At 48.8% G+C, this 24,159-nt stretch overlaps 2 protein-coding genes across 25 annotated transcripts in view; one reads left to right on the top strand and one right to left on the bottom strand.

Annotated features, from left to right (window-relative positions):
* RAB37 (RAB37, member RAS oncogene family) overlaps positions 1-24,159 on the bottom strand; it is a 76,205-nt gene that overhangs the window by 29,885 nt on the left and 22,161 nt on the right. The window lies entirely within an intron of this gene.
* CD300LF (CD300 molecule like family member f) lies at positions 4,528-23,134 on the top strand. 24 transcript variants are annotated; one of them, XM_047435415.1, is made up of 9 exons: positions 4,528-4,627; positions 12,145-12,247; positions 12,635-12,973; positions 14,353-14,416; positions 18,830-18,875; positions 18,947-19,082; positions 21,234-21,256; positions 21,592-21,726; positions 22,200-23,134. In XM_047435415.1, the coding sequence occupies exons 2-9, from the start codon at positions 12,196-12,198 to the stop codon at positions 22,353-22,355; spliced, it is 951 nt and encodes a 316-aa protein (XP_047291371.1). In that variant the 5' UTR covers positions 4,528-4,627; positions 12,145-12,195; the 3' UTR covers positions 22,356-23,134. The 24 variants fall into 24 exon arrangements, 23 of the variants coding, with proteins under 23 accessions (XP_047291371.1, XP_047291368.1, XP_047291366.1 ...); XM_047435412.1 differs by having other exon boundaries at positions 18,821-18,875; XM_047435410.1 differs by having other exon boundaries at positions 14,308-14,416; positions 18,821-18,875.

Here is a 24,159-nt window from a genome sequence, read left to right as displayed (position 1 = left end):
AGGCTCAACCTCGTAATGCCATCACATTGAAGGTTAAGTTTCAACGTATGAAATTCGAGAGACACAAACTTTCAGACTCACTCTTTGGAGACGCCTATTTTTCTCAGAAATAAGCTTTGCCTGTGCCTGAATTCCTGGACAAGAACTTGGGTAAGGCCCAGATTCCCATTCCATACACTGCAGAAGAGGGGCATGAGATCTGGAAAATGTTCAAGGCTGGTGGTATCAGTTACCTGCTTAATAAGTCAGTTTTCAGTGCATGATAAAACATTCTTTCATTCTGAAATTTGTTTTATTTCATTTTATTTTATTTTTGAGACAGAGTTTCGCTCTCGTTGCCCAGGCTGGAATGCAATGGTGCGATCTCAGCTCACTGCAACCTCTGCCTCCCAGGTTCAAGTGATTCTCCTGCCTCAGCCTCCTGAGCAGCTGGGACTACAGGTACCTATCACCATGCCAAGCTAATTTTTTGTATTTTTAGTAGAGACAGGGTTTCACCATGTTGGTCAGGCTGGTCTTGAACTCCTGACCTCAGGTGATCCGCCTACCTTGCCCTCCCAAAGGGCTGGGATTACAGGCGTGAGCCACTGCACCCGGCCAGGAAATTTGTTTAAAAAACAACCTTGGAGTGGACGCCCTGGTGACAACCAGCTCCGGGATTCTCTGCTTTATCAATTCTTCATTGTCAGCACTGAGCAGGATCTAAGGGCTGTTTTCTCTCTCTCTCTCTCTCTCTCTTTCTCTGCCCCCTCCCTGACCCTGACACAAGGCAGCATGGCTTATATGAACCAGGCCTGGGTTTGAATCTTGGCTCTGCCACTTACTAGCTATGTGACCTTGGACACGTCACTTGCTCTCTGCGTCTCAATTTCTTTGAAAAATGAGAAACGCATCACCTTTCCTCTAGATTTATAGTGAGGATTCAATGTAATAATGATGGAAAATATGAAACATAGCACAAGTGGTTGGGAAAGATAAAGTGCAATTGGAAGTGAGGGGAACTAAAAGGGCTCAGGAATGGTTTCTGAGAAGAATTATGATTTATAAAAACAGAGACTGGTTCTTAGGTGCTAGACAGAGTCCCCTAGCAGAGCACACAAGGCCAGGGCAGAATGACAGGTTCAACCATTCACGTACATACATGCACACACACACATACATACATACATAGGTGCGTTAGAGCAGGGAGAATCTCAGATGACCTGTCTAATCCCTGCTTTCACATATGGGGACAGGGAAGCCCAGGGATATAACTGGCTTGTGTATAGGTCAATGGTCAAACCAGGATTACAGGTTCAAATGAGTTTTTGAGGACGCAAGGCCTGCAGAAGAGCCGATTCCCCTGTATTCCCCATAGGCACTTGGTTAGAGGAGCAGCTACTCAGAACCACTTGGCGAATTCTCTGCTTTTTCTTTTTGAGACAGTGTGTTGCTCAGTTACCCAGGCTGGAGGAGTGCAGTGTTGTGACCTCGGCTTACTGCAACCTCTGCCTCCCGGGTTCAAGCAATTCTCTTGCCTCAGCCTCCTTAGTAGCTAGAATTACAGACATCCACCACCATGCCCGGCTAATTTTTTGTATTTTTTAGTAGAGATGGGGTTTCGACATGTTGGCCAGGCTGGTCCTGAACTCCTGACCTCAGGTGATCCGCCTGCCTCAGCCTCCCAAAGAGTTGAGATCACAGGTGTAAGCCACCGTGCCCGGCCTGAATTCTCTGTTCTTGTTTCAAAGGGGAATCCTTCTTGGGGAGGCCAGGTCTGGGAGAGGCCACGATCAGAGGGTCTGGCCACAGGCAGTTCTAACAGACAGTGCTGTTCCCTCCTTGTTGCTCATGCCCAGGAGAAGAAAGCTTACCCCACCACCCTCGATGCATCTGCCCCTTGTTTTTCAGGGCAGCCCCCATTCCTGGTCCTTTTTCCTGGAAGCCAATGGCTTCCCTACTGCAGAGGGCTGATTGCTCTCTGAGTATCTGCATGGTGCCCTGGGCAGAGGACCTATTGACATGCAGCAGGGACCAAAGGGCTGGCCAAGCCCTCACCCCGGATTCTTGACCTACTTTATGGTCTGCAGATATGTAAAGCGAGAAGCCATCTCTGGCCACGTCCTGGAAAAGCCATGGCTTATCAGCTGCTGTGGTTTTCTGTGCAAATAACCCTCTGCACACCCACTCATTCCTGATTAGGGTGTGAGGGGGTTGCGTCCCTCTTTGAGACTCACTCCCTTGTCAAGATGTCACAGGGTGTATGTGACACATGGCAAAAGTGGCTCCAGGTGCAGAAGGTGAGAAAGGTCTAATCCTTTTATTTATTTTTATTTATTTATTTATTTTGAGATGGAGTTTCACTCTTGTTGCCCAGGCTGTAGTGCAATGGTGCGATCTCAGCTCACTGCAATCTCCACCTCCTGTGTTCAAGTTATTCTCCTGCTTCAGCCTCCTGAGTAGCTGGGATTATAAGCACCCACCACCACACCCGGCTAAGTTTTGTATTTTTAGTAGAGACGGGGTTTTGCCATGTTGGCCAGGCTGATCTCGAACTCCTGACCTCAGGTGATCCACCTGCCTTGGCCTCCCAAAATGCTGGGATTACAAGTGTGAGCCACTGAGTCTGGCCCTTCCTAATCCTTTTATATCCCCAGTCCCGACCCTAGGGACTTGCTGGGGTCTTGATGGGAAAGGAGAGATGGGGGATGGACATGATTGTCAGAAGGAGGAGAGTGAGGGGCAAAACTGGTCCTTCCTTTCTTCCTTCCTTCCTTCAACAAATAGTTATAAGGTGAGGGGTGGAGCGAGGGGATAATAGTCCTGAGCAATGAACTGGTTTCCTCAGGTAGACCCCCTGGTACAATGGACAGGTTTCTGGAAGATTCCAGATGTAGGTATCCCTGGGATCTCACCTGGTGGGCTGGGGTACAGCAGTAGGAGCTTCCTTCGTGTTCTCAGGACAAAGCGCCTCTTGTCAGTGGGCCAGTAGTTCCCTGCTTGCATCTCCCTTCTCTCTGAACCTCTCTGTGCGTGCGTGTGTGTGTGTGTGTGTGTGTGTGTGTGTGTGTGTGTTTAAAGAGACAGCGTCTGCTCTGTTGCCCAGGCTGGAGTACAGTGAACAGTGGCTCAATCATAGCTCACTGCAGTTTCGACCTCTTGGGCTCAGGTAATCCTCAGGCCTTAGCTTCCCAGATTGCTTGGACTACAGGCATGCATGACTCTGCAGAACTAATTATTATTATTATTGTTATTATTTTTGAGACAGAGTCTTGCTCTGTTGCCTAGGTTGGAGTTCAGTGGTGCGATCTGGGTTCACTGCAACCTCTGCCGCCTGGGTTCAAGTGATTCTCCTACCTCGGCCTCCCGAGTCACTGGGATTACAGGTGAATGCTACCACGCCCAGCTAATTTTTGTATTTTTTAGTAGAGATGGGGTTTCACCATTTTGGCCAGGCCGGTCTCTAACTCCTGACCTGGAGTGATCTGCCTACCTTGGCCTCCCAAAGTGTTGGGATTACAGGCATGAGCCACCATGCCTGACTTTTTTTTTTTTTTTTTTTTTTTTTTTTTGTGGAGATGAAGCCTTGCCATGTTGCCCAGGCTGGTCTTGAACTCCTGGCCTCAAGTGATCTTCCTGCCTCAGCCTCCTAAAGTGCTGAGATTACAGGTGTGAGCCACCGTACCTGGCCTTGTAGTCTGGGGTTGGATACCCAATCTCCTCATAGCTGCCTTCCAACCTTTGGTCTGGAATCTCTCCTCTGGCTTTCTGACTTTGGCCACAAGTGCCCCTCAATCCTCTTGAACTTCTGGCCTTCTGGGCTCCCAAGCATCTGGCTACACCTGAAGCTCCAGGTTTAGGACATCGTGTCTATCAGCCGTGGCTCTCCAGGACCCCTCTGGTGGAGCCGCGTGCCCCTGCCCCCAGCCAACCCACCAGGTTTGGAGGATTGGATAAGGGCTGGCCAGACCCAGTGGATCTGTCTGCAGGTTTCCACATGACAGAGGAGCCACGAAGTTCTCTTTTTAGAGAACCCACGGTGGCTGTGTACAGAGAGGTACTTCTCAGAAGCTGATGATTCCTGTGACCCCTTGCATTGTCAACTGCCTCGAAATTTCACCCTTTCCACCTCCTTCCTCTTTTTTTTTTTTTTTTTGTTTTTGTTTGAGACAGAGTCTTGTTCTGTCACCCAGGCTGGAGTGCAAGTGGCACGATCTCGGCTCACTACAACCTCCGCCTACTAGGTTCAAGCGATTCTTCTGTCTCAGCCTCCTGAGTAGCTGGGACTACAGGTGTGCGCCACCACGCCTGGCTAATTTTTGTATTTCTAGTAGAGACGGGGTTTCACTATGTTGGCCAGGCTGATCTTGAACTCCTGATCTCGTGATCCGCCCGCCTTGGCCTCCCAAAGTGCCAGGATTACAGGCCTGAGCCACGGTGCCCAACCAACCACCTCCTTCCTCTTTTAGTCTCTTTCACCCATGGGAAGTGACTGAAGGAGGAAGTTCAAGGGCGAGAGTGAGTACCAGCAGAAGGCTGGGAGTCTGTAGTTTGTTCCTGCTGCCAGGCTCCACTGAGGGGAACGGGGACCTGTCTGAAGAGAAGATGCCCCTGCTGACACTCTACCTGCTCCTCTTCTGGCTCTCAGGTGAGCGGGCCTGGGTCTGTCTTCTTGGGGAAGCTTAGCAAGCAGGAGGAGGTGGCTGAGAGAGGGAAGAAGGGACCCGGCCAGAAGGTGTCCTTAATGGCATGAGCCTTGTGCGTTTCATCCACATACCCACCATTCACCTAGCATTTCCGTTGCCAAGGCAGGAATACAGGGCATGACCTTCATAATGAAGCCAGTGCAAGGCAGAATTCCTGACCCCCAGGGGCTGATCATGTGAAATGGACAGACTGTAGGCCCCGCCGGCCAGGGAAAAGCAGAGGAGGAACATGGGCTGCTCAGGAGAGCAGGCGACTGCCTGATCCTGGACTGGGTGATCTGTCACCTGCGTGGAGGTGTTCTGAGCAAGGGCAGGCGTCAGGGAAGAGGTGAGGCTGGAGGACTTTGAAAGGAGGGAAGAGGGAGTTTGCTGGGCAGAGAGGGAGTGGTGGTTCTAGGCATTTGGGGCAGAAGGAAATAGTAGAAGTTGCTGAGGGACGGAAAGGTCAAGAGGAGATAAGACTGGCAGGGACGTAGAGGAAAGGAGGGACTGAGATGTGGGCAGAGCCAGAGGGCAGGAGACACCTTAAGTTGGTGCATACAATTTTTATTAAAAATGAAGGGAGGCCAGGGAAAGAGGCTCATTCCTGTAATCCCAGCACTTTGGGAGGCTGATTGCTTGAGCTCAGGGATTCGAGACCAGCTTGGGTAACATGTGGAAACCCTGTCTCTACAAAAAGTACAAAAATTAGCCAGGTATGGTGGCATGTGCCTATGGTCCCAGCTACTTGGGAGGCTGGAGGCTGAGGCATGAGGATCACTTGAGCCCAGGAGTTGGAGGCTGCAGTGACCTGTAATCACACTACTGCCTTCCAGCATGGGTGACAGAGCGAGACTCTGTTTCAAAAAAAAAAAAAAAAGAAAAAAGAAAAAAGAAAAAAAAAGAAAGAAAACAAAAAAATAATTTCAAGAAGTGAGAAGTGATAAGTACTGTGAGGAAAACAGAACAAGATGATATGTTACAGTGGGACCCAGGTAGGGGGATGCTGTAAGTCAGGTGGGCTGAAACAACCCCCCTGAAGAGGGTCCCAGATGCCTGTCCGAGCCGAGACCTAGGAAAAGGATCAGACACAGGATCGGGACCAGCTTTCCAGGCACAGGGAACAGTAGATACGAGGGCTCTTGTGTAGGAATGAGCTTGGACTGGGCACGTCTGAGGAAGAGGGAGGTCAGCACGGCTTTGCCTCATGCTTCAGAAGATCCTGGTGGGACAGATTGGAGAAAAGGTCTTGGGGAAGAAAGTGACTTGTCCAGGACTGCTAGGCTGGTACAGGAAGAGCAGGGAGTGGCTCATGGACACTTGGCCCCGAGTTTCAGCATGTAAGTGGAGAAGGCAGACTTTGGGTGAGATGTTATGAAATGCATTGGCACAGTGAGACCAGGACAGGTATGGCTGCTTTTTTTCTGACACCTGGAAATGAGAGAATTTGGTAGTGAGCAGATGTGAGAGTCGTGTTGGGAGTGGGAGTGGTTTGGGACCTCTGTCTGAAGTGGGCAGAAAAGCCAGCAGGCACAGCTATGGGCGCCAACATGGAGCCCGGATACCACTGTGAACCTGCATGCATCAGCTCTTGCCAGCCTCTCCTGCAGAACTTCCACCCACAAGCAGCAAGTGTGCTTACCCTGTTTCCCTCTTCTAAATAATTTATCGTTTTAAAACACCCAAGAAAAAAAATACCCATCCGGAAGTTTGTTTTCTGTGAGAAAGGAAGGTTTTTTATTTTTTTTGAGTTGGGGTCTCAGTCTGTTGCCTAGGCTGGAGTGTGGTGGCATGATCATAGCTCACTGCAGCCTCAACTCCTGGGCTCAAGTGATCCTCCTGCCTTGGCCGTCTGAGTTGCTGGGATTAAAAGCATGAGCCACCGTGCCTGGCAAGAACAGATTTTTTGTTTTTTTTTTTGAGACAGAGTCTCGCTCTGTCACTCAGGCTGGAGTGCAGTGGCGCGATCTTGGCTCACTGCAACCTCTGCCTCCCAGATTCAAGTGATTCTTCTGCCTCAGCCTCCCAAGTAGCTGGGATTACAGGTGTGCCAGCATGCCTGGCTATTTTTTTTTTTTTTTCGTATTTTTAGTAGAGATGGGGTTTTACCATGTTGGTTAGGCTGGTCTCGAACTCCTGACCTCAAGTGATCCACCCGCCTTGGCCTCCCAAAGTGTTGGGATTACAGGCGTGAGCCACCGCGCCCAGCCTCACTGTGCTTTTTTTCCATAAGTCTTTATTGTTTCTGTTAAAGTTATTCCTAGGAATTTAATACACTTTTATTGCTAATGTAAATGAGCACTTTTCTACTTTACTTTCCAACTATTTATTAGCAGTTTATAGGAAAGCCATTGATTTTTACATGTTTATTATTTAGCCACTCTATTAAATTCAATTATGAATTAAAATACTTTTTCATTTAAAATTAAAAAATTTTCTCTAACTTTTTTCCCTTTTGATAATTATACATTTTATGTTTTTCCTTATCTTCCTATATTGATTAGAATTTCCAGGCTGGGCACAGTGGCTCACGCCTGTAATCCCAGCACTTTGGGAGGCCAAGGCAGGCGGATCACAAGGTCAGGAGATCGAGACCATCCTGGCTACGGTGAAACCCCATCTCTACCAAAAGTACAAAAAATTAGCTGGGCGTGGTGGTGGGCGCCTGTAGTCCCAGCTACTCAGGAGGCTGAGGCAGGAGAATGGCGTGAACCCGGGAGGCGGAACTTGCAGTGAGCCGAGATTGAGCCACTGCACTCCAGCCTGGGCGACAGAGCCTGACTCCATCTCAAAAAAACAAACAAACAAAAAAGAACTTCCAGAATCATGTTATTATATATATTGGGAATTCATGTTTTGTTTATGATGTCAATAGGAATGCCTATAGTATTTCACTGTTAAGAATAATTTGGCTGGTGATGCATGATGGCTCAAGCCTGTAATCCCAGCACTTTGTGAGGCTAAGGCAGGCAGATCGGTTGAGTCCAGGAGTTTGAGACCAGCTTGGGCAACAAAGTGAGACCTTGTCTCTCCAAAAAAAAAAATACTAGCCTGGTATGGTGGTGCATGCCTGTGGTCCTGTCGTCCCAGCTACATAAGAGGTTACAGCAAAAGGATCACTTGAGCCCAGGACTTGAGGCTGCAGTGACCCATGTTCGTACCAGTGCACTCCGGCCTGGGTGACAGGCGACCAAGCAAGACTCCATCTCAAAAAAAAAAGAATAATTTGGCTCTTGGTTTATGGTGTCCTAAAAGTCTTTTTAATTGTGGAAAATAAAATGTACAAAAAAGTGCATAAAACTTCAACATCCATGTTAACAAATTATTATAAAGTACATATGAATGTCTCGCACTAAGTGTGGTGCTTGCTGAGGTTTTTGATAGACAATCTTTATCAGATAAAGGCAGTTCTCTTAGTTTGCTAAGAGTTTTTAAAAAATCATGAATGAGCGTTGATTCCTATCACTACTTCTCTCTGCACCTAAGATGATCACAAGATTTTTCTCCTTGACTCTGTTAATATGGCATATTACCCTTATTGATTTTCTTTTTTCCTTTTTTTTTTTGAGTCAGTCTTGCTCTGTCTCCAGGCTGGAGTGCAGTGGTGTGATCTTGGCTCACTGCAACCTCCGCCTCCTGGGTTTAAGCGATTCTCCTGCCTCAGCCTCCCGAGCAGCTGGGACTACAGGCGCCCGCCACCACGCCCAGCTAATTTTTTGAATTTTTAGTAGAGACGGGGTTTCACCATGTTGGCCAGGATTGTCTCGATCTCTTGGCCTCGTGATCTGCCTGACTCGGACTCCCAAAGTGCTGGGATTGCAGGTGTAAACCACCGTGCCTGGCCTCCTTATTGATTTTCCTTTTTTTTTTTGAGACGGAGTCTTGCTCTGTCGCCCAGGCTGGAGTGCAGTGGCGCGATCTCGGCTCACTGCAAGCTCCGCCCCCCCGGGTTCACGTCATTCTCCTGCCTCAGCCTCCGAGTAGCTGGGACTACAGGCGCCCGCCACCACGCCTGGCTAATTTTTTGTATTTTTAGTAGAGACAGGGTTTCACCGTGTTAGCCAGGATGGTCTCGATCTCCTCACCTCCTGATCCGCCCGCCTTGGCCTCCCAAAATGCTGGGATTACCGGTGTAAGCCACCGCGTCCAGCCTCCTTATTGATTTTTTAATGTTAAAAACCATTTTGGGTGTTTGGCATAAACCCAACTTGGTGATAATGTTTTATCCTGTTTATGTATCACCAGATTCCGTATGCTGATCTTTTGTTTCAGGTTTTTGCATTTATGTTAATGAGTGATATTTGCCTACAATACTTTCTTGCTTTGCCCTTGTCAGGTTTTGGCATCAAGATTATGTTAATCTCGTGAAATGGATTTGGGATTTCATCTTCTTTTTCTATGCTCTGGAAAATTATCTATAAAATAGACATTATTTCTTCTTTACGTGTTTGGTAAATATTTCCATTGAAGCTGTATGGGTCTGGAGTTTTATTCTGGCGGAAGTTTTAAACAAGGGATTTGATTTATTTAAATATAATAGCTGTGGAATGATTCAGGTTTTCTATTTATTTTGTGCTGATTTTAGCATATTGTATTTTTTTTCTTTTCTTTCTTTTTCTTTTTTCTTTTTTTTTTTTTTGAGATGGAGTCTTGTTCTGTTGTTCAGCCTGGAGTGCAGTGATGTGATCTCGGCTCACTGAAACTTCCACCTCCTGGGTTCAAGCGATTCTCCTGTCTCAGTCTCCCAAGTGGCTGGGGCTACAGGTGTGTGCCACCACGCCAGGCTAATTTTTGTATTTTTAGTAGAGATGGGGTTTCACCATGTTGGCCAGGCTGGTCTTGAACTCCTGACTTCAGGTGATCCACCTGCCTCGGCCTCTCACAGTGCCTGGCCTGTATAATTTTTTTCTAGGAATTTGTTTATTCCATCTCAAATTGTAAATTCATTGGCATAACATTGTTTAAATATCCTTTTATTATTATATCCTTTTATCTTATTCATGGTTTATTAACTTTTTAATATGTGCAGGATATACAGTCATATACCACTTTTAATTTTTTTTTTTTTTTCTGAGATGGAGTCTCACTCTGTTGCTCGGGCTGGAATGCAGTGGCACGATCTTGGCTCACTGCAACCTCCGCCTCCCAGGTTCAGACGATTCTCCCACCTCAGCCTCCCAAGTAGCTGGGATTACAGGTGCACTCCACCACACCTGGTTAATTTTTGTATTTTTAGTAGAGACAAGATTTCACCATGTTGCCTAGGCTGGTCTCAAACTCCTGACTTCAGATGATCCACCCAATGTGGCCTCCCAAAGTGCTGGAATTACAAGTGTGAATACTGTGCCTGACCCTCTTTTGGTTTTAATTTGCATTTTTCTGGTGATCAGAGATGTTGAGCATTTAAAAATAGATCTGTTGCCCATTTATAGCTCCTCTTTTGAGAAATATCTGGTCAGATTCCTTGCCCAGTTTTTAATTAGATTATTTGTTTTCTTGTTACTGATTTGTTTGAGTTCCTTATGTATTTTGGATATCAGCTCTTTGTCAGATTTATGGTTTGCAAATATTTTCTCTCACTCTGTAGGTTGTCGCTTCATTCTCTTGGTTGTTTCCTTTGCTGTGCAGAAGCTCTTTGGTTTTGTGAGTCCCATTTGTCTAGTTTTGCTTTTGTTGCCTGTGCTTTTGGCGTCCTCTCCAAGACATCATCGCCAAGACCAATGTTGTGGAGCTTTTCCATTAGGTTTTCTTCTGAGAGATTTAAGTTTCAGGTCTTACATTTACATCTTCTCTATTGTGAGTTGATTTTTGTATATGTTGTGAGATAAAGGTCCGGCTTCATTCTTCTGGACGTGGATGTCGAGTTTTCCCAGCACTGTTTATTGAAGAGACTGTCCTTTCCCCATTGTGTGTTCTTGTCACAGGGCCCGCTTCTTTCCCCAGGACCCGGGCTGGAGTGGAAGGAGGGCTGTGCCTTCGCATGGATACCCTGCTCTCCAATCCAGGCTGCCGTGGTCCTCACCCCTTCCCAGGGTCTCTCTGACACTGAGGCCCTCTGTCCGCGCCGTTGGTTGTTGTGCTTGAACTGCTGGTTTTTGTTTTGTTTTGTTTTGTTTTTGAGATGGAGTTTTGCTCTTGTTGCCCAGGCTGGAGTGCTATGGCGCCATCTTGGCTCATTGCAACCTCTGCCTCCCGGGTTCAAGCGATTCTCTTGCCTCAGCCTCCCGAGTAGCTGGGATTACAGGCATGTGCCATCATGCCAGGCTAATTTTTCTATGTTTAGTAGAGATGGCGTTTCTCCATGTTGGTCAGGCTGATCTCGAACTCCCAACCTCATGTTGGGAATTTATATATATATGTTCTTTTTATTCTTTCTCTCATATTCTCACCTTTGAAAGATTCCGGATACAGGGAAATATTTCTTTACTTAAAAAAAAAAAAAAGGCCAGGCACAGTTGCTCACACCTATAATCGCAGCACTTTGGGATATATATATATATATATTTTTTTTTTCCTTTAAAATGTTTTTTATTTTTAGAGTCAGTGGGTACCTGTGCAGGTTTGTTACATGGATATATTGCATGATGCTGAGGTTTGAGCCTCAATCAAACCTGTCACCCAGATAGTGAACATGGTACCCAATTGGTAGTTTTTTCAGTGCTTGCTCCCTTCCCTCCTCTGTTTTGTTCTTGCCCCTTTCCCTCCTCTGCCTGTTGTTCCCATCTTTATGTCCATGCATAACCAATGTTTAGCTCCCACTTATAAGTGAGAACATGCGGTATTTGGTTTTCTGTTTCTGCGTTAATTCACTTAGGATAATGGCCTCCAGCCACATCCATGTTGCTGCAAAGGACATGATTTTGAAGGAAAACATGTATTTTAAGAAAATACAGGCCAGGCGTTGTGGGGCCCGCCTGTAATCCCAACACTTTGTGAGGCTGAGGTGGGTGGATCGCTTGAGCCCGGGAGTTTGAGACCAGCTTGGACAACATGGCAAAATCCTGTTTCTACTAAAACTACAAAAATTAGCCAGGCGTGGAGGCATGTGCCTGTAGTCCCAGCTACTTGGGAGGCTGAAGTGGGAGGATCAATTAAGCCTGGGAGGTGAAGGCTTCAGTGAGCCATGATTGAGCCATGATTGTGCCACTGTGTTCCAGCCTGGGCGACAGAGTGAGAGCCTGTTTCAAAAGAAAAAAAGAGAAAAAGAAAAAAAAAAGTAAATACTGCCTTACTGTCTATAATACCTGCTTTTCTACAAGGTGATAGTAATCAGGAGAATGTAGGATTGGCAGAAAGGTGGACAAATAGATCAATGGAACAGAATGGGAAATCCACAAATTTGCAATTTGACAAAGGGGTCAAAGCAATTCATTAAAGAAAGTGGGATCTGTGTTGTATGGATCCTATAGCACATGGAGACCAGTTGCCGTTGCTGTTTTGATCAACTTCAAAGGCATTCATCCAGGGTGGTTTATTCCAGAACCACTAGAAATCATTAGGACCACCAGGACAGCCTCTCCACAGCCATCTGATGTGGCTGCCTCAGCTCGACCTCATGAGGGTCATCAGTGCTAAGAGTCAAGGTAAGACCCTGTGGAAAGGGGTCTCCTGGTATTTCCTCCCCACCACACTGGACTAACACAAAGATGGCTGCAAAAGGACATTCCTTGAAATATACAGATTACCTTGGCCGTAGGGTGGAGAGAGGGGTGAACTGCAGGAAGTTATTATTGCTTATGCCAATATTTTTATTTTTGGGGGGATCCGTTGTTGTGCTCTTCAGTGATTTTCCTGGTGGCTTTGACCCAGTGGAAAGCTGAAGGACAAAAGTTTTGTCTGCGGAAGGTGTATTTCTTCCTTGACTGTTATTTAACCTGTGAAACTTGGATTTGGGAGCTATTCCCTAAACAGAAAGCTGTGGCCCTGCCCTTGGGGTGGGAGGTGACAGCACATGAATTTGTGTTTTCCAGGCTACTCCATTGTCACTCAAATCACCGGTCCAACAACAGTGAATGGCTTGGAGCGGGGCTCCTTGACCGTGCAGTGTGTTTACAGATCAGGCTGGGAGACCTACTTGAAGTGGTGGTGTCGAGGAGCTATTTGGCGTGACTGCAAGATCCTTGTTAAAACCAGTGGGTCAGAGCAGGAGGTGAAGAGGGACCGGGTGTCCATCAAGGACAATCAGAAAAACCGCACGTTCACTGTGACCATGGAGGATCTCATGAAAACTGATGCTGACACTTACTGGTGTGGAATTGAGAAAACTGGAAATGACCTTGGGGTCACAGTTCAAGTGACCATTGACCCAGGTAAGAGGGAGTGTATATATGTGTGTGTCTCTCAGGGCCTGCTCTGTCCTGGTCTCTGAGGTCCTACTCAAGTGATTTAATTGTCACTGAGTGATCTATCACTTGAGTCCCGAGTCTCATAGAACCCTGACTGACCACCTGGGACTGGGGGAGCAGGGCCTCTCTTCAATGCCCCCATGGCTCCCAGGGCTCCCTCCACGACGGGATTAAGCCTTTCTAGGCACATTTTTTACCTCTGCACAGCTCAGTGCCTGAGGACAAGGTGATGGTCCCAGTTTCAGCCCATGGGCCAAAGGGATGCCTTCCCATGGTACCCAGAGACCCCAGTCCTTGCCATTGCTTTTTGGAGACCTCTGGTGCCCAGGTGTGTCCTGCTTTTGGTGGAGTTCTGGGCTGGGGCTTCATAGCTGCTGTTCCCATCTCCCATTCCATATCTAACCTGGGGGAAAAAGAGGCTCAGCATAGTCGGGGTGCTGGGGTCTAATTCCCAAGTCCAGAAAGGTCTTCACAGTCAAACGGCTGCATTCCTGGTCCCTGACATCCCACCATGAGCCATTTGTGTGTGTGGACTTAATGATATTTCTTCCTATGTCCTTCTAGAATGCAGACACTCCTGGGAGCGTTAGCTCAGGGGTCCCAGTGCCTCGGTTTGCATGGGTTTATTTGTTGGGCTTGTTCTGCTGTCCCTCAGAAGATAAGCAGGATGGCTCGAGGGCCCTTGTGGCATGGAAGGAGCACCACAGTCCTTGGGGCCCCAGGTTGCACCCGGAGCCTCTGGGGCATATTCTAGTTTGCAAAGTGCTGAACGTGCATTGTCTCAATGGGTCCTCACAATACCCCTGAGAAGGGGGCATCCCCATCATTGAAGTTTTGTAACTTGCCCAAAGTCAAAGTTCTTCCTGAATATGATGATTTCATTCAGGGCTGGTCCTGACCTTTGATGTCACAGATCTAGGGTCACTGTGCAAGTTCCCACTCTGCTCCTGTTTTTGCTGGATAAATAGGGCTGGGGGTGGAGATTGACCAAGGCACTGTCATAAGCAGCAGGTTGCTCAAGTTCAGCTGGTCTCCAGCTGCCCTTAGGCTCTTCCCAGCCCCCTCTAACCCTCCCAGGGCCAGCTCAGCGTCCTCCCTGGACCCTGCCCAGCCCCACCTGCCTATGAGGCTCTGGAGTCTCCTAGAGACCAGGGAGACATGAGTGGTCCAGGCTGCAGCCCCTTCCCATAGTAGCAGTCCAGACCCCCGCCCAGGCTCAGAGCTGTGTGCAGGGCTGCGGGTGGGCTCATGGGCAGGGGCATCTGTGATCTGGTTTATACACCAAGCATCAACTACAGCGTCGACTCCTGCCCCCACCACGCCTACCTCCACTACGTTTACAGCACCAGTCACCCAAGAAGAAACTAGCAGCTCCCCAACTCTGACCGGCCACCACTTGGACAACAGGTAAGCCAGCTCTGGTTCCACTGTGGCCTACTTGGCCCAAACTCCTCCAATGGAGAACTCTTTGAAGTCCCATTTTCCAGCCTGAGCTTTGTCTGGGACCTGCATGCTCCTTGGTGAGGATGAGGAAGCTGGGAGCCCTTCCCACTTGCTGTCAGGCCACATGGTGTCCTTTCAGTCTCCACAGATCCTTCATTCTGCAGCTCAGTGCTGTTTGTAGGTTCATTCATTCGTTCGCCCCACTTTTACTGTGTTATAATAACTTCTACATGGCTGCACCGTGCTGAGCTCTGGGGACACAGACATGGACTGTCCCCGTGGAGCTCAGTGTGGGAGACCGATGAGTTGGCAGTCAGTGAGGACAGTGTGTCTCATGTGAGTGTGGGCGTGGGGTCATGGAGCCGCAGGGATGACTCTTGGTTCAACTTCTGGGAGGACAAGGAAAGGAGGGCTTGGGGAAGTCCTGTTTCCCTTAATTTTCCTCTGATTACTATTATGGCAAGAACAGTGATGCCTATAGTTTCTCACATCTCTAGAGCAACTGACAGCTCACAAAAGGCTTTCCTGTGCATTATTTTGTTTTCTTTGACCTTTCCTACAACCACCCCATGTGGAAGAATGGGCAGATACAAATGTTCCCATTTTACAGAAGAAGAAACTGAGCCTCAGTCCCTTCCTCAGTGAAGGGTGGTGCTGGAGCTTGGATGGAAGTCTCTGGGCTCTACACCATAGCTCAGGTCATGCCTCTTAGTGCCCTGCCCAACCATCTGCAGTCAGCTGGGCTTTCTAGAAGAGGAACGTCCCCTTTAATTTCTTCCTTTCACTCTCCTTGGCCCTCTTGACTTTGTTTTTAGATCTGCCAAGTGCCAAGTTCTCCTTTTGCTGGGACCTTGCCACAAAATCCCTATGGGAGGTCCCCGGTATTCTAACCACCTGAGACCCTTCTACTCCCCCTCTCCCATTTGCCTTCTGTTTTTTTTTTAAATTAAACTTTTTAAAGTTTTCTTTTTTTTTATTTTTAGACAGTCTTGCTCTGTAGCTCAGACTTGAGTGCATGGTGCCATCTTGGCTCACTGCAACCTCTGCCTCTCATGTTCAAGCAATTCTCATGCCTCAGTCTCCTGAGTAGCTGGGGGAACTATAGTCGCCCACCACCACACCCAGCTAATTGTTTTTTTTTTTTTTTTTTTGACGGATTCTCACTCTGTTGCCCAGGTTGGAGTGCAGTAGTATAATCTCAGCTCACTGCAACTTCCACCTCCCAGGTTCATGTGATTCTCATACCTCAGCTTCTCGAGTAGCTGCAACTACAGGCGTAAGCCACCATGCCCGGCCAATTTTTAGTAGCGATGGGGTTTTGTTATGTTGGCCAAGCTGGTCTCCAACTCCTGTCCTCAAGTGATTTGCCCACCTCAGCCTCCCAAAGTGCTGAGATTAAAAGCATAAGCCACCTTGCTTTGTCCCTATTTTTCTTTTTCCTAAGCAAATCAATACAGGATACCCTCTGATTTGAAAGTTTATTTTCTACCAAACTGCTTTGAATAAGTAATAGTTAAGGTTATTTATTTATTTATTATTTTATGAATCGAAGCCTTATGTAAGTGCCCGATTAGGGCCTTTGATTAGCATGAGATGGTTTGTTCACTCATTTATTTAACACATAACTCTTGAGCACTCACTCTAGCCTGTCACTGTTTAAGGGAATTAAAAAGGGTACAAGAATGGACCAAATAATCAAAATGCCTGCCCTCGAGGTACTTACAATCTAGAGCTAATTAGTGTAACCAAATAGGGTTGACACAATTAATTGACTGATGAATTTCTTTCTCAAATTTCTGCACATCCAGTGATGAAGGAGATAATCCTTATATTAGTTTGCTTGGGTTGCCCCTAACAAAATACCTCAGAATGGGGGCTTAAATCACAAAAATTTATTTTCTCACAATTCTGGAGGCTAAAAGTCTGAGATCAAGTGGTCCACAAGGTTGGTTTCTTCTGAGTCTTCTCAGCTTGTAGATGGCTATCTTTTTCCTATGTGTTCACGTGGTCGTCCCTCTGCGTGTGTCTGTGTCCTGATCTCTTCTAATGACACCAGTCATAATGGATTAGGGCCTGCCCCAGTGACCTCACTTAACCTCAATCACCTCTTTAAAGATCCTATCTTCAAATACAATCACATTCTGAGATACTAAAGGGTGGGACTTCAACATATGGATTGGGGTGGGGGGGTGGTGGTGTACAATCCAGCCCAGCCCACAACAGTTTTTTTTGTTGTTTGTTTGTTTTGAGACGGAGTGTTGCTCTGTCACCCATGCTGGAGTGCAGTGGCAGGATCTCGGCTCACTGCAACCTACGCCTCCCAGGTTCAAGCGATTCTCCTGCCTCAGCCTCCCAAGCAGCTGGGAGTAGCCAGGATTACAGGAATGCACCACCACACCCGGCTGTTATTTTGTATTTTTAGTAGAGATGGGGTTTTGCCATGTTGGCCAGGCTGGTCTCGAACTCCCGACCTCATGTGATCAGCCTGCCTCGGCCTCCCAAAGTGCTGGGATTACAGGTGTAAGCCACCGCGCTCAGTCGAGTGATTCTTGAGCAAAGACTGGAAGAGGTGAGAAAGTGAGCCACACAGAGCTCTGGAGGGAGCATGTTCCTGGAGAAAAATGCAACTGGAATAAGGTCCGTAATGTGGGGATGTGCCTGGAATATTTGAGGAGCAGCAGGAAGTGAGGCTGGAGTGAAGCAGGCAGGGGTGAGTCGTAGGCAGGAGTGGAGGCCATTGTCAGCCCTGGCCATTTTCATGGGCTGAAATGGGGCTGTTACGGGATTTATTTATTTATTTATTTTATTTTGATTGTTTGTTTGTTTGTTTATTTATTTATTTATTTATTTATTTATTGAGACAGGGTCTTGCTCTGTCGACCAGGCTGGAGTGCAGTGGCGCGATCTCAGCTCACTGCAACCTCCGCCTCCTGGGTTCAAGCAATTCTCCCACCTCAGCTTCCCAAGTAGCTGGGATTACAGACACACGCCACCCCACCCAGCTAATTTTTGTATTTTTTGGTAGAGACGGAGTTTCACCATGTTGGTCAGGCTGGTCTTGAACTCCTGACCTCAAGTGACCTGCCTACTTCAGCCTCCCAAGTTGCTGGGATTACAGGTATGAGCCACTGTGCCTGGCCTGTTGCAGAATTTTGAGAAAGAGAGGGGTGTGCTTTGACGTTTGGTTCACAGGCCCCCCGGCTGCTGTGGCAATGATCCACTACAGTAGGGCCTGTCAGTGTCCTGTGGCCGCCGTTACGAGTGGCTCAAAGCAAAAGAAATACGTTCTCTCACAGCTAAGGAGGCCAGGAATTGGAAATCAAGGTGTCACCAGGGCTGTTGCCACCCTGGGGGCTCAAAGGGAGAGTCTGTCTCATGCCTCTGTTCCAGCTGCTGGTGGGCGCCTGCGATCCTTTGTGTTCCCGGTCTTGTGGCGGCATCACTCTGATCCCTGTCTCTGTCGTCTCATGGTCTTCTTCCTGTGTGTGTTTATGTGTCCAAATTTCCCTCTTGTAAGGACACCAGTCGCTGGATCAGGGCCCATGCTAATCAACTATGACCTCATCTTAACTTGATTACATCCACAAATAGGTCACATTCACGGGTCTGAGTGGATGTGAATTCGAGGGGAAGAGGACGCTATTCAACCCAGTAGAGAGGGCAGGTGTAGAGGCAGGAGGTGTTTTAGGAGTCTGCTGCCCTACAATTTCTGTTAGGCTTCTAGACACATTAAAACCACCTCATGGAACCCTTTTCTCCTTTTAAAAACTATCTTTTGTTAAGGCCGGGCGCTGTGGCTCACGCCTGTAATCCCAGCACTTTGGGAGGCTGAGGTGGGCGGATCATGAGGTTAGGAGTTCGAGACCAGCCTGGCTTACATGGCAAAATCCTGTCTCTACTAAAAATACAAAAATTAGCTAGGTGTGGTGGTGGGTGCCTGTAATCCCCGCTACTTGGGAGGCTGAGGCAGAAGAATCTCTTGAACCTGGGAGGTGGAGGTTGCAGTGAGCCGAGATCATGCCACTGTACTCCAGCCTGGGTGACAGAGCAAGACTCTGTGTCAAAAAAATGAAAAACAAAGAAAACCAAAAACAACTATCTTTTGTTAAAATTCTTAAATTTTAAAAACTTTTATTTTAGCTTCAGGGGTACACGTACAGATTTGTTATATCGGTAAATTGCACGTCACCGGGGTTTTGTGTACAGATTATTTTGTCACCCAGGTAATAGGTATAGTACCCAATAGGTAGTTTGTAGTTTTTTGATTCTTTGCTTCCTCCCACCCTCCATCCTCAAGTAGGCCCTGGTGTCTCTTGTTCCATTCCCTTCTTTGTGTCTATGTGTACTCATTGTAAACCCATCTTTGAGGATCCCCAGGAGTGAGGGTTCCCAGGCTGCAAACTACAGACCTGCAGCTCATCAGGTGTGTGGCCCTCCCCTGCTGCTGGGTGGGTGGGATTGGGCTGAGAGGCAGGTGGTGAGCCTGGGATGCAGGGGACGCTTGCCATTGTTTCTAGGCACAAGCTCCTGAAGCTCAGTGTCCTCCTGCCCCTCATCTTCACCATATTGCTGCTGCTTTTGGTGGCCGCCTCACTCTTGGCTTGGAGGATGATGAAGTACCAGCAGAAAGGTGAGAGGACCTGGGTGAGGCTGGGCTGAGACTGGGCCGGGTGGCTGGGGATGTGGCATCTGGGAGCTATCTGGTCCAAGGGATTACCCACACAATCAGGAAATGGCACAGTCCCAAAGGCCCTCAGCAGCTGGCAGTGCCAGGGGACCGGGGGGCGCCCTGGAGCTTGCAGGGGAGCCCCAGGAGGTTTTGGCATTCGCCGCCTGCCCTGCACCTCCGTCCTTCCCCTTCTCTTCTCTCTGATCCACCTCCCTGTCTCTTTCCTGGATTGACTCTTGATGGCATAGGTGGCAATGGTCTTAGGTGGGTGGTCCAGTCTGGGGTGTCTAGACTAGACGCTAGAGTTGGGTCTATGTGGTTGTCAAGGAGGTACTGAGCTGACATGGAATGGGGAGGGAGAAACAGACACAAACACACCAGTGGATGCACACACACATGCGCGATCATGGGCACACACACTGCATGGATCCCACAGTGCATGTGCACTCATCACATTACACAAGCATGCACACACACACACAGCCCTCCAAGTCTGATCAGGAAATTGGAATGGCCTTTCCTTCTGTCCCTCCCTTGCCCACTGGACTTTCCCAGGCTGACCTACTTGCCCTTTGTGAACTAGCTCTTCAGGGAGGAGCCTCTTGGCGCAGGAGTCTACACTCACAGATCATGAGGCCTGGCCTCAACAAAACCCCAGTTGTGTGAGAATGTGGCTTCACTTCCACATTCTCACACAATTGTACCTCTTTCTCTTCTAGAACAGCTGGGTCCTAACTCTCACAGGGTTCCCTCCAACACTTCTCCCTCCCCACAGCCTGGGAAATCTTTCGCCTGGGAAGAGGGGAGCCTGACTCTCTGTTAGTTTGTTTTCTGTGATGCTTTTTCAAAATTAGAGCCTGACTTTTATTCATCGCTTTTTCTCCCAAATGTATTGCCCACGGCCTAAGGTCTAAGTGCTTTCTGTGTTCTCCAGCATCTAGACTTTTGAAACCAGGGGAAAACCCCCCATTTCTTTGTTGTCCCTAGGGCAGGGATGTGGGGCTGGTGGCTGGGGAGGGGAGAAAGAAGACAGGGACCAGCAACCACCTGAAAATCGGTCCCAGTGGAAAAACAATCCAATCCAATCTCTGGGTGTCGTGGCTCATGCCTATAATCTCCGCACTTAGGGAGGTTGAGGCGGGTGGATCACTTGAGGTCAGGAGTTCGAGACCAGCCTGGCCAACATGGTGAAACCCCTTCTCTACTAAAAATGCAAAAAAATTAGCTGGATATGGTGGCACACATCTGTAGTTCCAGCTACTCAGGAGGCTAAGGCAGGAGAATCGCTTGAACCCAGGAGGTGGAGGTTGCAGTGAGCCAAGATGGTGCCATTGCCCTCCGGCATGGGTGACAAGAGAGAAACTCCATCTCAAAACCAAACCAAACCAAACCAAACCAAACCAAACCAAACCAAACCAAACCAAACAAAATCGGTCCCTACTGTGCCGACCCAGCTTGCACATTCTACTCGGGGTTGGGGGACAGCTTGGTGCATTCCTGTCTCTGCAGACAACTTTTACTGATGGAGCACCACCTGCTCAGCACAGCCAAGCACCCAGGTTGTAAGGAAGGGACAGGCCCAGCCACCCTGCAGCTTACAGCCCACCTGAGGACTAACTAGAATTCAGTAGGACGAAGATGATGAGACAGACATAGAGCAAGTGCCCCCCGGGGGCCCGGGAGGGGGATTAGACAGCCTGGGTAGCTGCAGAAGGCAGGCATGACTTTGAATTGACCCCTGAAGGATGAATCAGGTAGAGAGACATGGTGGAATTCCAGGCCGAGTTGGGATTCTGCAGAAGCAAACTTACTCCCAGGGGAGCCGATGGCTGGCAGGGCCACCCGATCAGCTGAGTGCACAGTTCTATGATGTGGGGAGCAGGGGGCTGGGGTGTCCCTCTTTTCCTGGTGGAGAAGTGAAAGGTCAGAGAGGTGACATGACGAATGTCACAGACTGTGTCATCTGAGGAATCAGAATTAGAACCAGGTCCCTGTCTCTGAGCCTGGACCCAATTCACCTCTTTTCTTCCATATTTCTCTTCCCTAGACCTGGGGGTTCTTGTGAGTCTGGGGAATGGGCTTTCTAATTCTGAATTGTTGTTTGTCTTTTAGCAGCCGGGATGTCCCCAGAGCAGGTAAGATAGCCCCCAAGGTCGGACCAGAGAGACCAGGCAGCTTCTTTCCCCTTCCTCATTTTCCATCTCTCAGAAGGTCCAAAATATCAGAGAAGTCCTGTGCCAAAGTATCCTGTCCTCATGGCACCCTGCAGGGCCTGGGGGCTGAGGGCCTGGAAACAGCCAGGGGGACAAGGGCTGAGGGGTACAGGAGCCTGAGAAGTGGAGGACACGGAGGGAAATGGGAGAGGGGCACCTGGGGAAGTGGAGAGGCTCTCGTCCCGTCCCACCGTGGAAAAGGAACCTGTGTCCACAGACAGATCTTGTGACTCCCCAGCCTGTGTTCCCTGTCCCAGGTACTGCAGCCCCTGGAGGGCGACCTCTGCTATGCAGACCTGACCCTGCAGCTGGCCGGAACCTCCCCGCAAAAGGCTACCACGAAGCTTTCCTCTGCCCAGGTTGACCAGGTGGAAGTGGAATATGTCACCATGGTGCGTCCTCCATGGGGGCTGCTGTGAGGCTGGGGCAGGGGGACACAGGCCTGCCGTTGCACCCCGTTGGAGGGTGGGCTTTCTCCTGCTCATGTGGGCATAGAGGAGGCAGGTGTGGGGCAAAGCCATAGTCACTGCAGGACTCGCCTAGGAGCTCCCACAGGCAAGTCTCAGTCCTGGGGACACAGGGACTGGCAAACACAGTCCCCACGTGGGCAGCAGAGTCCCAGACAGGCTGAGTGACTTGGGATTCCACAGGAAATGTGCTGCACTGGTGCAGGGTTGGGGGAGAATCTGTTCTGTTGTGGTTGAAGCTCAGGGTGCTTGGCAGAGTGAAGGGGGAAGCTGGAGGGCTTGAGTGGGATTAGAAGCCCTGAATGGTCCATCCCCACTATCCTCCTCCGAGGGCTCCTCTGCCCCGTGACCGTCACTTCCTGCCGTCCTCTCTGACCTGGAGCCCGCCTTTGCTGCAGGCTTCCTTGCCGAAGGAGGACATTTCCTATGCATCTCTGACCTTGGGTGCTGAGGATCAGGAACCGACCTACTGCAACATGGGCCACCTCAGTAGCCACCTCCCCGGCAGGGGCCCTGAGGAGCCCACGGAATACAGCACCATCAGCAGGCCTTAGCCTGCACTCCAGGCTCCTTCTTGGACCCCAGGCTGTGAGCACACTCCTGCCTCATCGACCGTCTGCCCCCTGCTCCCCTCATCAGGACCAACCCGGGGACTGGTGCCTCTGCCTGATCAGCCAGCATTGCCCCTAGCTCTGGGTTGGGCTTGGGGCCAAGTCTCAGGGGGCTTCTAGGAGTTGGGGTTTTCTAAACGTCCCCTCCTCTCCTACATAGTTGAGGAGGGGGCTAGGGATATGCTCTGGGGCTTTCATGGGAATGATGAAGATGATAATGAGAAAAATGTTATCATTATTATCATGAAGTACCATTATCGTAATACAATGAACCTTTATTTATTGCCTACCACATGTTATGGGCTGAATAATGGCCCCCAAAGATATCTGTGTCCTAATCCTCAGAACCTGTGACTGTTACCTTCTGTGGCAGAAAGGGACAGTGCAGATGTATGTAAGTTAAGGACTTTGAGATAGAGAGGTTATTCTTGCTGATTCAGGTGGGCCCAAAATATCACCACAAGGGTCCTCATAAGAAAGAGGCCAGAAGGTCAAAGAGGTAGAGACAAAGTGATGATGGAAGTGGACGTGGGTGTGACGTGAGCAGGGGCCATGAATGCCGCAGCCTTCAGATGCCAGAAAGGGAAAGGAATGGATTCCCCTGCCTGGAGCCTCCAAAAGAAACCAGCCCTGCCCACGCCTTGACTTGAGCCCATTGAAACTGATCTTGAGCTCCTGGCCTCCAGAATTGCAGGAGAATAAATTTGTGTTGTTTTTAATGAGCCACGAAATTGGTGCTAATTTGTTACAGCAGCAACAGGAAACTCATACGGTATGTGGCAGTTGCCCTTCCTTAGATGCTTCCCATGTAGTAACTAATTTAATCCTCATGACAACCATGAGGCACTTCTATTACTGTCCCCTTTTTACAGACAGAGAACCCTAGGGATGGAGAGGTTCAGTGACTTGAACCAAGTTTAATGGCAAGTAAGCAGATGAGTTGGAATTTGAACACATTTGACTCCAGAGCCTGGAGTCTGCACTGTTTGTATAAGGAGGATAGTGTGTATGTGCATGTGTCTGCATGTGTGTGTGTGTGTATACACATACACTGCTGCTCACACAGGGATCATGCTCATTTACAGATGCTGGACTATCTTTTTTTTTTTTGAGAAAGAGTCTCACTCTGTTCCCCAGGCTGGAGTGCAGTGGTGAGATCTCGGCTCACTGCAACCTCTGATTCCCGGGTTCAAGCAATTCTCTTGCCTCAGTCTCCCAAGTAGCTGAAACTACAGGTGCCTGCCACCATGCCTGGCTAATTTTCATGTTTTTAGTAGAGATGGGATTTTACCTTGTTGGCCAGGCTGGTCTCGAACTCCTGGCCTCAAGTGATCTGCCTATCTCGACCTCCCAAAGTGCTGGGATTATAGGTGTGAGCCACCACACCCAGACAGAGTTATTATCTTTATTTTAGCAATCTGACAGCCTTCCTTCCAGAAAGTACCCTGAACCCCACCACGTCTCATCATCTCTGTGGTTACCAAGCCCACAATGATTGCTAGTCCAAGCAACCATTCCCTGCCTGGTCTTCCTCTTTCATTCTCTGCCATGGAGTCCATTCTCGTCCCAGCAACCAGAGTGATCTTTTCCAAGCACAGACCTGATTACTCCCTGCTTATAGCCTTCTGATGGTTTCTCTCCCAGCCTGCAAGTTCTCAGGGGATCCATGGGCTGCTGGCTGCCCCTTCACCCCCAACTCCATCCACCCTCCCTCTCAAAGGCTCTGCTCCATGCACACCAGCTTTTC

This window comes from Homo sapiens, chromosome 17 (assembly GCF_000001405.40).
Source record: "Homo sapiens chromosome 17, GRCh38.p14 Primary Assembly".
Lineage (NCBI taxonomy): Eukaryota > Metazoa > Chordata > Mammalia > Primates > Hominidae > Homo > Homo sapiens.
Note: the sequence above shows the minus strand (reverse complement) of the source record. Positions and strands in the feature narration are given on the sequence as shown.

What these genes read in the sequence shown, in the direction of transcription:
- CD300LF (XM_047435407.1), top strand. Translation starts at nt 12,196, where the DNA reads ATGTGGCTGCCTCAGCTCGACCTCATGAGGGTCATCAGTGCTAAGAGT. An exon ending in CATCAGTGCTAAGAGTCAAG is followed by an intron (nt 12,248 to 12,634) that starts GTAAGACCCTGT and finishes TGTGTTTTCCAG; the next exon opens with GCTACTCCATTGTCACTCAA. An exon ending in GATGAAGTACCAGCAGAAAG is followed by an intron (nt 19,083 to 21,233) that starts GTGAGAGGACCT and finishes TTTGTCTTTTAG; the next exon opens with CAGCCGGGATGTCCCCAGAG.